Source organism: Homo sapiens, chromosome 1 (genome assembly GCF_000001405.40).
Source record: "Homo sapiens chromosome 1, GRCh38.p14 Primary Assembly".
Taxonomy (NCBI): domain Eukaryota; kingdom Metazoa; phylum Chordata; class Mammalia; order Primates; family Hominidae; genus Homo; species Homo sapiens.
In genome coordinates this window covers 168980377-168995081 of record NC_000001.11, presented here as the reverse complement: position 1 = coordinate 168995081, position 14705 = coordinate 168980377, and the positions used below count along the sequence as shown (strand labels likewise).

At 38.6% G+C, this 14705-nt stretch overlaps 1 long non-coding RNA gene across 1 annotated transcript in view, besides 1 other annotated feature; it reads left to right on the top strand.

Annotated features, from left to right (window-relative positions):
- Positions 1-14705, top strand: part of LINC00970 (long intergenic non-protein coding RNA 970) — a 183101-nt gene that overhangs the window by 91924 nt on the left and 76472 nt on the right. The window lies entirely within an intron of this gene.
- Positions 3073-3262: an enhancer, noted in NCBI's record as "active region_2063". NCBI's record gives its function as "activates an Ori minimal core promoter by ATAC-STARR-seq in GM12878 lymphoblastoid cells {active_cell/tissue: GM12878}" and the evidence as "EXISTENCE:reporter gene assay evidence [ECO:0000049][PMID:35858748]".

The window sequence follows — 14705 nt, the reverse complement described above, 5'->3', positions numbered from 1 at the left end:
GGACTCCTCCCTAACTCATTTTATGAAACCAGCATTGTCTTGATACCAAAACTTGGCAGAGACACAACAAAAAAAGAAAAGTTCAGGCCAATTTGCCTGATGAACGTCAATGTGAAAATCCTCCATAAAATACTGGCAAACCGAATCCAACAGCATATCAAAAAGCTTATCCAACTCGATCAAGTTGACTTCATCCCTGGGATGCAAGGCTGGTTCAACATGGGCAAATCAGTAAATGTAATCCAAACCCTTCAAACGAAAAACTCTCAATAAACTGGTATTAATGGAAAGTATCTCAAAATAATAAAAGCTATTTATTACAAACCCACAGCCAATATCATACTGAATGGGCAAAAGCTGGAAGCCTTCCCTTTGAAAACTGGCATAGGACAAGGATGCCCTCTCTAACCACTTCTATTCAACATTGTATTGGAAATTCTGGCCAGGGCAATCAGGCAAGAGCAAGAAATAAAGGGTATTCAAATAGGAAGAGAGGAAGTCAAATTGTCTCTATTTGCAGATGACATAATTGCATATTTAGAAAACCCCATTTTCTCAGCCCAAAATCTCTTTAAGCTGATAAGCAACTTCAGCAGTCTCAGGATATAAAATCAATGTGCAAATATCAAAAGCATTCCTATACACCAATAATAGACAGCCAAATCATGAATGAACTCACATTCACAATTGCTACAAAGAGAATAAAATACCTAGGAATACAATTTACAAGGGATGTGAAGGACCTCTTCAAGGAGAACTACAAACCACTGCTCAAGGAAATCAGAGACGACAAAACAGATGGAAAAACATTCCATGGTAATGGATAAGAATCAATAGTGTGAAAATGGCCATACTACCCAAAGTAATTTGTAGATTCAGTGCTATCCCCATCAAGCTACCATTGACTTCTTCACAGAATTAGAAAAAACTACTTTAAATTTCATATGGAACAGAAAGAAGGCCCATATAGCCAAGACAATCCTAAGCAAAAAGAACAAAGCTGGAGGCATCACACTACCTGACTTCAAACTACACTACAAGGCTACAGTAACCAAAACAGCATGGTACTGGCACCAAAACAGAGATATAGACCAATGGAACATAATAGAGGCCTCAGAAATAACGCCACACATATACAACCATCTGATCTTTGACAAACCTGACAAAAACAAGCAATGGCAAAAGGATTCCCTATTTAATAAATGGTGTTGGGAAAACTGGCTAGCCATATGCAGAAAACTGAAACTGGACCCCTTCGTTACACCTTATACAAAAATTAACTCAAGATGGATTAAAGATTTAAACAGAAGACCTAAAACCATAAAAACCCCAGAAGAAAACCTAGGCAATACCATTCAGGACATAGGCAGGGGCAAAGACTTCATGACTAAAACACCGAAAGCAATGGCAACAAAAGCCAAAATTGACAAATGGGATCTAATTAAGCTAACGAGCTTCTGCACAGCAAAAGAAACTATCATCGGAGTGAACGGGCAACCTACAGAATGAGAGAAAATTTTTGCAATCTATCCATCTGACAAAGGACTAATATCCAGAATCTACAAGGAAGTTAAACAAATTTACAAGAAAAAAAAACCCCATCAAAAAGTGTGTGAAGGATATGAACAGACACTTCTCAAAAGAAGACATTTACACAGCCAACAAACATATGAAAAAAAGCTCATCATCACTGGTCATTAGAGAAATGCAAATCAAAACCACAATGAGATATCATCTCATGCCAGTTAGAATGGCAATCATTAAAAAGTCAGGAAACAACAGATGCTGGAGAGGATGTGGAGAAATAGGAACACTTTTATACTGTTGGTGGGAATGTAATTAGTTCAACCATTGTGGAAGACAGTGTGGCAATTCCTCAAGGATCTAGAAATAGGAATACCATTTGACCCAGCAATCCCATTACTGGGTATATACCCAAAGGATTATAAATCATTCTGCTATAAAGACACATGCACACGTATGTTTATTGCGGCATTATTCACAATAGCAAAGACTTGGAACCAACCCAAATGCCCATCAATGATAGACTGGATAAAGAAAATGTGGCACATATGCACCATGGAATATTATGCAGCCATAAAAAGGATGAGTTCATGTCCTTTGCAGGGACATGGATGAAGCTGGAAACCATCATTCTCAGCAAACTAACACAGGAACAGAAAACCAAACACCGCATGTTCTCACTCATATGTGGGAGTTGAACAATAAGAACACATGGACACAGGGAAGGGAACATCACACACTGGGGCCTGTTGGGGGTTGGGGGGCTAAGGGAGGGATAGCATTAGGAGAAATACCTAATGTAGATGATGGGTTGATGGGTGCAGCAAACCACCGTGGCACGTGTATACCTATGTAACAAACCTGCATATTCTGCACATGTATCCCAGAGCTTAAAGTATAATAATAAAAAAAAATCTTAAACAGTGACTGGTGCTTTTTATGTGCTCAATGATTATTTGTGGGATGAATAAATAAGTGACGGGAGAAGTACAGATAAAGTTTTGTAGAAAAATGCGCAGAATAAGTACTCAATAATTATATGTGAGGTTGGATAGAAAAGACAGGGTTCACTTAGAGTCCTCAGTAAGGAGCAAATAGAGTAAAAACCAAATAAGAAAAACAAAAAAATCATTGAACAAATTCAAAGAGAGGCAGTGAAAGCCTGCCTGACCTTCCGTGTATTGGCCTGTGATAGCATGTGGAATATTCTAAGTGCTGCTTCTAGCATAGAGTCCCTGTTTAGATGTCCCCTCCCTACTTCCCTCTTCTCCCCTATCTGCTATATGGTGATTCACATGAAAAAAGCTAAAGGTTTCTGCTCTCATCAAGTCTTATCAAGGAGAGCTGGGGTAATATTAGAGAAGAATGAAGACTCAGTCCTGAAAGAACTTGGAACAGGGGCTGCTGAAGGAGACAAGAGGTGAGAGTGTTCCCAGAAGTCCTGGGCTCCCTTTGGCAGGCCCCATGTGAGAAACCCTCCTCTTTACTATTTACTATGTCATCTCTCCTCACGCTGCCATTGTGTATTTTTGCTGCTTGGGTCTCGTTTGCTGCTTGACCTAGTTTGCCAGTGATGAGTATGTATTTGTCACACTGGCATTTTCTGTATGTGTAGGAGGACATGTCTGCACATGAAATAAGACCTTTCTTGTCTCTTCTGGTGCCTTGCTTGGGAAACCCCTCTGTCTAGAATGGCTTCCTGGCAAAGACTTGTTTTTCTAGAAAGCCTGCCTTGGTGTTAACTTTAAAGTCCTCACCAACCTACTCAGGTAGAAATAATCACGCTGTCTACTTTGCTATCTGCTTTTCATATACAATTACATCTATTACATGAATGGATGAGTCAGTGAGTCAGGACATCTTATCATACCCATCTTGGCAGCTCCAAAACTTTGCATAGCACCCGGCCTAAAAACTACAGTATCATAGTACACAGTAGAAGTTCAATTAGTATCAATGGTATAGAACATCACTTTCCATTTTCTCCTCTCCTCCTTGATATGATGATCATAAAATATTAGATTTCGTGGGAACTTCAGAGATTATCTGCTCCATTATACTAGTCAATGTAGAAATTCTCTGTCAAGAAGGTTTTATTGTATATTCGAACATCTCCAGTGGTGGGATGCTCACTACCTCTTAATCCAGCATGGTCCATTTCGAACCACTCAATCTTCAATGAAAAATTCTTCTACATTAAGCTGATTATTATCTCCCTATAACTTTTACTTATTGGTCCTATTTCTCTCTGCTGCACACACACTTGGAGTTATCCAAAATAAGTCTGATTGTCCTCCATATGGCCATCCTGAAGTACTTGAAAACAACTGTCATGTCCCATTTAATATTCTTTTTTCTCAAATTGGGCCATTCCATGCTAAATTAGACTTCAACGGTTTCTCATATAACAGGCTTTCTAGGCCATTCCTCTTCTTGGTATTTCTCCTTTGACTTCCAGTTAGTCAGGCTGGCCTCTACAATGTACTACTCAGGACAGGTACTATAGTATCAACAAGGTTAAAGTCTAGGTATATTCCCTGTTCCTTCTTTTGAGTGTTCTGAGTTCCAGGGCAGTGCTAGGCACTAAGCACTCAGAGATGGCAGTGCTATGGAGGAAAAGGGCTCCTGGAGGAAAAGATGCTACACCCCAAAACTCTGCTCCGAGACTGTTCGTCTGGCACATGCTGCTATGGCAGGGACAGGGTGCTTTCTCAAGCTGCAGCTTGGATCAACAGGAGTTTCCTTTGGGTGGTCTTTTTTCTCCAGCTTTACTGAGGTAAACTGACAAAAAAAATTGTATATTTTTAAGGAGTATAATGTGATGATTTGATATACATATACATAGCAAAATGATGACCACAATCAGGTTAGTTAACACATCCATTCATCTGTTGACAGATACTTAGGTTGTTTCCATGTCTTGGCTATTGCAAATAATGCTGCAATGAACATGGAATGCAGATATATTTTTGAGATACTGACTTTGTTTCCTTCTGATATACACCCAGAAGTGAGATTGTTGGATCATATGATAGTTCTATTTCTAATATTTTGAGGAACCTTTATCCTGTTTTTTCATAATCAGTGTACCAATTTACATTCCCACCAACGGCGTACAAGGGTTCCCTTTTCTCCACTTCCTCACCAACACTTGTTATCTCTTGTCATTTTGATAACAGCCATTGTAACAGGTGTGAAGTGATATCTCATTCAAGTTTTGATTTGCATTTCTCTCTGATGATTGGTGATGTTGAGCATATTTTCATATACCTGTTGGCCATTTCTATGTCTTCTTTAGTGAAATTTCTATTCAGTTTCTTTGCCTAGTTTTTAATTGGAATATTTGTGTTTGTTTTTGTTTTGTTTTGTTTTTGCTGAGTTGCATGAGTTCCTCATATGTTTTGGATATTAACCTCTTATCAGGCATATGGTTTGTAAATATTTTCTCCCAATCTTGAGGTTACCTTTCATTTTGGTGATTGTTTCCTTTGCTGTATTAAACTTTCTAGCTTGATACAGTCCCACTTGTTTATTTTTGCATTTGGGGCTTATGATGTTGGTGTCATATCTAAAAAAAATTGTCAAGACAAATGTCAATGAGCTTTTTCCTTATGTTTTCTTCTAGGTGTTTTATGGTTTCAGGTGTTATATTTAAGTCTTTAATTGATTTTAAGTTAATTTTAGTGTGTGGTGTAAGAGAGGGGTCCAATTTTATTCATTTACATGTAGATGTCCTGTTTTCCAAACACCATTTATTGAAGAGAATGTCTTTTCCCCCTTGTGTATTCTTAGCACATTTGTCAAATATTACTTGACCATATATGTGAGGATTTATTTCTGGGCTCTCTATTTTGTTTCATTGATCTATATGTCTGTTTTTATGCCCTTATAATGCTGTTTTGAGTACTACAGCTTTGTAATATATTTTGAAATAAGTGTATACCTTCAGTTTTTTTTTTCTCAAGATTGCTTCAGCTATTCAGGGTCTTTTGTGATTCTATACAAATTTTAGAATTTTTAAAAATTTTTGTTAAAAATGTTATTGGTGGTGAGGTGCACTGGCTCACGCCTGTAATCCCAGCACTTTGGGAGGGTGAGGCAGGTGGATCACTTGAGACCAGGAGTTCAAGACCAGCCTGGCCAACATGGTGAAACCCTGTCTCTACTAAAAATACAAACAATAGCCAGATGTGGTAATGCACACCTGTAGTCCCAGTTACTTGGAAGGTTCAGGCAGGAGAATTGCTTGAATCCAGGAGGTGGAGGTTGCAGTGAGCTGAGATTGCGCCACTGCACTCCAGCTTGGGTGACAGAGTGAGACCCTGTCTCTAAAAAAAAAAAAAAAAAAGTTACTGGAATTTTGATAGGAATTGCATCAAATCTGCAGATCACTTTAGATATTTTAACAATATTAATTCTTCCATAGGATATCTTTCCATTTATTTGTGTCTTCAATTTCTTTCATCAATGTCTTATATTAATAGTTTTTAGTGTACAGGTCTTTTACCTCTTTGGTTAAATTTATTTCTAAGTAGTTTATTGTTTTGGATGCTATTTTAAATGGGATTGTTTTCTTAATTTTCCTGTATTTTTAAATGAGATTATTCTTTACTTTTCTATATTTAAAATGGGATTCTTTATTACTTTTCAGATAGTTTGTCTTTAGCATATAGAAACACAACTGATTTTTGTATGTTGATTTTGTATCCTGCAACTATATTGAATTTATTTATTAGTTCTAACAATTTTTTGATGGGGTCTTTAGAGTTTTCTATGTATAAGATTGTGTCATCTGCAAACAGACAATCTTACATTTTCCTTTAGAATTTGGAGGACTTTTATTTCCTTCCCTTGTCTAATTGCTCTGGCTAGGACTTCTAGTACTATTAAATAGAAGTGGTAAAAGTAGGTGCTCTTGTCCCCTGAGCTTAGAAGAAAAGCTTTCAGCTTTTGTTTGCTAAGTATGATATTGGCTGTGGGCTTTTGATATATGACCTTTATTCTGTTGAAGTACATTCCTTCTATACCTACTTTATTGAGAATGTTTATAATGAAAGTATGTTGAATTTTGTCAAATTATTTTTCTGCATCTGTTGGGATAATCATATGATTTTTATCCTTCATTCTGTCAATGTGGTGTTTGTTGGTCTCTCTTAACTGAGGTGAACTGGAACGAATGAGGCTGCCCAGAGTTGGAGAGTGGATGAATGGGGAAGTGGTCAATGGTAGCATCTGGGGCTTAACCATCACTAGCAGAGATTGAGGAAAACTGTGTGTGAGGGGATGGGACTGGGTGTCAAAGCCAGGAGATTCCCTAGACGATGGGAGAGGTTGGCACAGCATTGTGTTCATTTTTGAGACTTGATGGGAGTGCTGTGGCAGGGGAGTCTCAAATAACTCCAGTTGCATGCACCACTGGCCATAGTCTACATTGTTATCTGTAAGTGTCCCCTTGCAAGAATGGGAGAGGCATGCAAACAGTCTAGAGTAGGTGCCAGGTGTCAAGCACTTAGGGAAAAAGTGAGTGGGAAAAGAGTTAGGCTTCAGTATCTTTCCCCACAATATTTACAGCAGATGCACGAATACTCTAAAAGTTCCAGACAAGACCTGGTTCAATTAAGAGATGCTTTTGGAAAGGTTTTCCCTACTTCCAACCTCCAGGTGGGGTCCATCTGCTAAGCATCTGGAGAAATCCAAAGAGGGTAACATTTGCACTCCTCTGGGGTCCTTCTTACAAAGGTCAGGGAATAACGTCCTGAATTTATTTTCGGGAATATTCTGGGGCTGACAAGACTCAGGTTATTCTCAGCTTAGAAAGATCCATAATGAAGAACTTGTAAAAAATAAAATCGCATGATGGAAAGAAAATGCAAACATAAAAAACAAGAAGCAGACGAAAGGGAGCTAACTGTGGTGAATGGAGGTCATTTGATGAACCCAGAACCCAGAACCCAGAATCAGTTACAATGACAGCGATGGTCCTTTGCCCAGAGAAAAGCAGACCAGGAGGTGGCAGACACAAGCAGAAGAAGGCAGTGGGAAAGTCTGAGCTGGGACTCAAATGGAGGCTGTGACAGGAGGGATTTTGGTCTCTCAGTGTGTATGTCACTTGAAGGCAGAGACCTTAATTATGGGGCCCTATGTGCGACTCTGAGCAAGCCTGCACCTTCAGGGAGAGGTAGGGCATTGGAATTGTGGGTTGTGTTGCTGGGAAGGCAGAGGAGACCTGGCTGAAGCTTCTTTTCAGACGTTGGACAGATGGATGAGGGAAAAACTGGCCATTATACCAAGCTCCTCACAGGTAGAGTCAGTGCAGCATGAAGTGATATAAGTGATACCTCTTCTGTGTGTCCTCTAATATGAGTTCTGTTGTGGCAGTATGATGGAAGGCCAAAGCTAGTACAGACTCCTTGGTAAAAGGCATGCTCAGAGCAATGCCAGATCCTGCCTAGACACCTTAACCTGCGTTTATGCCTCTTCTGTGTTTCTGATTCTGATGAATACAAAGTGCTCTGCTTCTTCTTCTCTAACTCCTTATGAATTACATGAGTTTGTTCTTTCCCACACAAAAAAAGAAAAGATCAAGACAAGGGGTGGAAAGAAGCCATGAGTGTTATTCCAGGGCAGGAATTCTTAACTTTTTGGTGCCACGGACCACACTGGCAGTTTGGTGAAGCCTATGGATCCCATTCTCAAAACTACGTTTAGAAATTCAGTCAATAAAATACATAGAATTGCAAAGGAAGCCACATGTACTGAAATTCAAAATTTTTTGTGGTTTAGTAAAATACATCCTTCTTAATTATCCCATTAAATTAATTAGCTCATCATTCTCTAGTGGCAGATTCAATAATTACTATAATTTTGAAATTTTGGGTAGCATAACACATATTTCAATATACGTAATGTGATATAAAAATATCTATGGTTTCTCTTGATGGCAGAGTTACAGGTACTGCTAAATCAACGTGGTTAGTTACCTACATTAGAGTTGGAGAAATCCTAACTTCAGGTAAAGGTTAGCGATGTGGTTTGGCTCTGTGTCCCTATGCAAATCTAACACTGAATTATAATCTTCAATGTTGGGGAAGGGACCTGGTGGGAGGTAGTTGGATTATGGGGTCAGATTTTCCCCTTGCTGTACTTATGATAGTGAGTTCTCATGAGATTTGGTTGTTTGAAAGTGTGTAGCACTTCCCCCTTTACTCTCTCTCTCTTCCTCCTGCACTTGCCATGTAAGACGTACCTCCTTCTTTGCCTTCTGCTACGATTGTAAGTTTCCTGAGACCTCCCCAGCCATGCTTCCTGTAGATCCTACGGAATTAAACCTAAGTCCATTAAACCTCTTGTCTTATAAATTACCAAGTCTCAGGTAGTTCTTTATAGCAACATGAGAATAGACTAATACAGTTAGTAAAAATAAAGGTATAAATTTTCCTATTAAAGTTCAAAAACACTTGCTCCTGCCATTTTTATCCCCAGACTCAATGCCCAATGGACTTCAGATGAAGAATCTTTTCTCTAAGAGAAGTCCCTTCATCAAAACATGAGGTCAGGAAAGTGAAAGTTCTCCCTAAATATTAAAAATATTACAGCCTCATACAAATTAATGAAAAAAAAAACCCTCAAGAGATGGAGGGGCCAAGGACATGATGAACAAAAAAAAATGATAAAAATTTGAATAAAAAGTCAACTTCAGAACAAAGTTGCAGAAATTTTTTTTTTTGGTCTATTAGGATGCAACATGCACCCACACAAACACAAATTCTGCAAGTGACACTGATATCACTATTCTCACTGCTGCTTAAATTAAAATTTGTACAGTTATTTTGGAAAACAGATCTTAAATTATTCACATTTTGAATCATTAACTTCTTAAACCAACTTAGATGATTGTCATTTAATAGCTACACTTTAAAATTTTTTTCTTATATAACCCGGACTACCCAAATCTTAAAGTACCCACTGGATTATATATAACAACAGCTCCCTCCATCACCAGCAAACCAAATATTTTCCAGTCTCAAAAGCATAAAAATAATGAAATCCACCACATTCCATCATATATGTTTAAACCTCATAAGGACTAATATATGCTGACCTCTCCTTTGAGTCTACTGGACTGTCACAGTATTACAGAGGATGGCAAGCTACCTAGGGAGAGCACACATTTATTTGGGCGTGGGTTTTGGACACGACATTTAGAGGCCTGTATTCAATTTTTGCCTAGAAGGTTTTCTGTGATCACATTTTTACTATTATCTTTTTTTTTCCTTTGGCCTTTCTACCAGTTCATACTTCCTATCAGTCTTTTGTTTTGAATTTGGTATCATTGCCCTATTCCTTTAATACATATTTTTTGAGTACCTATTTTGTGCCAAATATTGTGCTGGATATTAGAGACTCAGTGGTTAATCAAAAGATTTCATGCCTGTCCTTCTGGAGCTTACAGTCTATTGCAAGGGTAATTAAACTACAGCCCATGGGCCAAATTTAGTCTGCCATCTGTTTTTGCACGACCTGCAAGATAAGAATGGTTTTTAAATTTTAAAACATAATAAAAAATGGAAAGAATAATAATATTTTATGACACACGCAAAGTGTATGAAACTCAAATTTTAGTGTCCATTAATAAAGTTTTATTGGAACACAGCCACACTAATTTGTTTATGTATTGTCTACAGCTGATTTTATGCTGCAGTGGCAGAGTCAAGTAGTTGCAACAGAAACCGTATGGCATAAATCTAAAATATTTACTATCTGGCTCTTTACAGAAAAAGTTTGCAGACTCATGATCTAGTGGAGTAGACAGAAAAGAGGCAAGCAAGCAAATAATAAAATAATCACAGATTGTGGTAAGTGATACAAAGGGGGAAAAGGAGGAGAAGATGAAGAATGCTAGCAGCATGTGTGTGGATAGAGTCTGTAAGAGAACGTCTTCAGCTGGAAGTGATGCTTATACTTACACAGAGGTCAAAAGGGTGAGAAGGATCCAGATATGCCAAGAGCAAGGGAAATTCTGCTATGTTCAGAGCAGGGGCAATTTTGTTCCAGGCAATGGAGACGGGGATGGGTGGTGGCAAAGGTGCTGGTGTGGGAAAGATCTTGGTGTGTCAGAGGAACTGAGAATCCATCCTACCTGGAGAGGAGTAAGAATGAAGACTGACCCATAAATACATGAGGAACCACCAAAGGGTTTCAAGCAAAGGAATGGCATGGCCTGATTTGCATTTATCAAAGGTTACTTCATCTGTCCTATGGAGAATAGATAGCAAGAAAAAAAAAAAGAATGTTAGAAAACTATTGCCTTACCTCTCCTTGAAGGTCCATTTCACACCTTGCTCCCATTGACATGTACTACGATGGGCTCCAATAAACCTGTCAAAATGAGGGGCTTCAGAATTTCATAATATTTTGCTATTATTCTTTCAAAAATCAGTTATTAATGAAGTTTAGATGTGTAGAATAGCAACTGATAACATTTTCAAAAAAGCATGTGTTGGATGTCAGATTTCACTCTAATAAGAACTCAATGAAGAACACTTTCTTGCTAAAAATACAGAGTTTTCAAATATGGTGCAAAGAATATAAAAAGTGTTATTAGAAAAGATAACTGGTGATAGCTGCCCTTGCCTCCTGCCTTAGCAGTATAACTTTTCTCTGGAGGGCATAGCCTTTTGTCTTACAAAATGACCTTATAGACCATATTGGGGAGGAAGATGAGGTCCAGAGGTCAACACTGATAGCTAAACATCTATGCATAAGAAGTTAACAGGAATCTGTGGAGAAGATAAGATAGAGGCTGAGAAACCTGGCTGTGGAGACCAGTAAGAAATTTCTGGAGGAGGATTAGCCTGAGGACATAAGTACCCTCATGTGTACTTCTTCTTTTTTATTTTCTGCAAAGCTGCCATATTAAAGCCTTCCATTTTTTAAACCTTCAATGAAAGCCTTATACAAGCATATACTTGGATTGGCAGTTTTCTGGAAGTAATTGGGATGCTGTCTCACAAAGTTATAAACTAGTACAGAAAAGTGACATGTATGGGTGGCCAGGTGATCTATAAAATGAAGTAGTTTGGCAGAGGTAGAAATTCAGAGCCAGGTTGACTAGGAAAAATTTCTGTAAGAAATATAAGAATCCCAAGGAAGACCAAGTTTCTCAACACATGTAATAGGGATTTTGAGGCAATTTCATTTGACAGTTTAAGAATAGTGTGAATCCAGCTTACATATGGATTACATACAATTTTGCTCTGTTTTCATATTAATACCATGATTTACAGAAGGCCAAGCAATGTCATGTCCATTTCAAAAACCGGGAAGAATAGCCAGAGAAAGATTAAGTGACATCCAAGGGCATGGACATTGACACGGATAGAATCACTATTGTTCCTCTGGCCGCTGGGCCCTTGATGAAGCCTGTACTTCTATCCATTTGGTGGATGAGAGCCAAGGTAAAAAAAAAAAAAAAATCAGAAAAGAACACAAGTAAATGTTTATGGAAAAACACAATCCAGCATTTACGGGAAGCAATGGCTTCCTCATGAGTCCTGCCCTTTCTGAATTTTGGGCTTTCCTGAAGTTCCATTTTTAGAGAAACTCACGCTTAGGCCAATTTTTGCTGAACCACTTCCCTACCAATCTGTTTCTGGGTCTCAGACAGCGACTTAGAAAGTGCAAAGCATTCATGTTTCCATAGTGCCTTCCTGTCCCCTAGTACCCATTGAAAAGGCATATCAAAAGAGAAATCAAACAAATTTTGTTTCAAGATCTCAATTGAATTGGGTAACACTTCATTCCATAAAATAGAGTAAGTGTCCCAGTGAGTTGAACAGAGGGGGTTGGTTTTATAGACAGAAAGGGTTGAAGAAAGCAGAAACAAAGATTTAAAAGCAGATTGGTCATTTCTTAGTAAGGCAGGAACAGGGAGACAGAACAATAGAAAGATAACTGATTGGTTAATGCCAGGTTATGCTGGTTACTTTTTGTTGAAAGGATTAAAACAGGTAATTCATTATTGTGACTGTTTGGAAAACGGGCTGTTATCTTTCCCTCCTGATTTCTCAGAAGCTCAGAGAACAACTTAGTTTCAGTTTGGTGACATGGAACTTTAGCATGGGTGACTCCATTTTGATTTTTAGTATGGTCTGTTAGGGCCTAGTACAGAAGCTTAGCCCAAAACGGAGACGGAGTCTAGCTCTGTCGCCAGGCTGGAGTACAGTGGCGCACTCTCGGCTCACTGCAACCTCCACCTCCCAGGTTCAAGCAATTCTCCTGCCTCAGCCTCCCGAGTAGCTGAGATTACAGGCATGCGCCGCTACACCCAGCTAATTTTTGTATTTTTGGTACAGACGGGATTTCATCATGTTGGCCAGAATAGTCTCGATCTCCTGACCTCATAATCCGCCCACCTTGGCCTCCCAAAGTGCTGGGATTACAGGTGTGAGCCATCTCACCCGGCCAACAGTGGCTTCCTATAATTTTTGTTTAAAAATCACCTTAGCCCAAAACAGTGGCTTTTTATAATTTTTGTTTAACAATCATAATCAACAAGAGTTGAACCACCACATTTCCTCTCTACTATGGTTTAAAGTTCCCTGTTCTATCACAAGATTCTGTAAAAGCCCTTCTCTCCTTCCCTGATGTCTTGGATAAAACCCTGATATACCTGGTAGAGATGGGCACAGGCCAGATAGAGGGTGCAAAGCCCTCCTTCCATGGAAATGGGAGTCAATGCATAGATGAGAAATTAGCCTGTGATTCTTTTTTTTTTTCTTTGAGATGATCTTACTCTGTTACCCAGGCTGGAGTCAGTGGCATGATCATAGCTCACTGTAATCTTGAGCTTCTAGGTTCAAGTGATCCTCCTGCTTCAGCCTCCCAAGTAGCTAGGACTATAGACACATGCCACCATACTTGGCTATCTTAAAATTTTTTTGTAGAGGTGGAGTCTCACTATGTTGCCCAGGCTGGTCTTGAACTCTTGAGCACAAGCAGTTCTCCTGCTTTGGCTTGCCAAAGTGCTGAGATTACAGGCATGAACCACTGTGCCCAGCCAGCTTGGGTTTTGTGATCCTGCTTTTCTCCATTTTGCTAGACTCAAAATAATTTTATTCTTTCTTTTCAAATTGCAAGAATGAATGAGATAATCGTCTACAAAGCATCTCGAGTTTCTTGAAGAAAAGTATCATCGGAACATAAAAGTGAATGTGCTAGACAGCTATCAAAGCTCAAAGCAAAGAAAGTCACAGGCTGGGAAGAAATTCACGAAACAGAACTTAACAATTCGAAGTCAAAATCTTGTACAAATGACTAAGTGGCATTTTTTTTGAGGTCAAGACAACCTGTAGAGCCTGCAAGTCCCTGTAAACAATAACAATAGCCAATCCTTGCATAGTGATTAATAGTTTGTAAAACATTTTTATATGCATGGCCTTATTTCTCATACATGAGACACTGCATATGAAGCAGAAACATTGTGAGACAATAGCTCTTCTTACCATCATTTGAAAGGAAGAGACTGCTGGACTCAGCAAGGGTAAATTTTATTCAAAGTCCCTTAGCTATTAAGTGGTAGAATCAGGATCTGAATTCAGATCTCTTGATGCCAAAGTCCATGCCATTGCCACCACTTCTTCAGGGAGCTAAATATCTCCCTCCTCTCTAACTTCCTGTTTTGTCACCTCTTCAGAGAGAAATCAGCATTTTGGATCACAGAACCATTCTTGAGTCACCCACCAGAGCAGAAGTTAGCTATTTCTAAGGAGAATTAATTCTAGTCCCCTAGATGCAAATTATTTCTTCCTCTCAAAGCTTCAAAGTGAAGTATATATTTTAAGTCATCAAATAAAGTTTAAATTTTAAATCACCAAGAAAATCCTCTAAAAAAGAGTTTATTTCAGACAACTACCCCTCAGATATATTGTCATTAGCAGTTTCTTAAATGCCCTTCCTGTAATGGGCATTAGCACTTTATATATGTTCTCTCAGTCACTCTTTCTGGATTTATTTTTTGAGCACCCAAAATGTTTTAAACATGCTTCATAGAATTGCAACAGATACAACAGTGAACAAACAGTCAAACTCAACTCTTAATGGAGAGCAATATGCAAAATAAATAAGTAATATGTCAGGTGGTGATAAGAGCAGTGGACAAACATAAAGTACTCAAGAGGGCT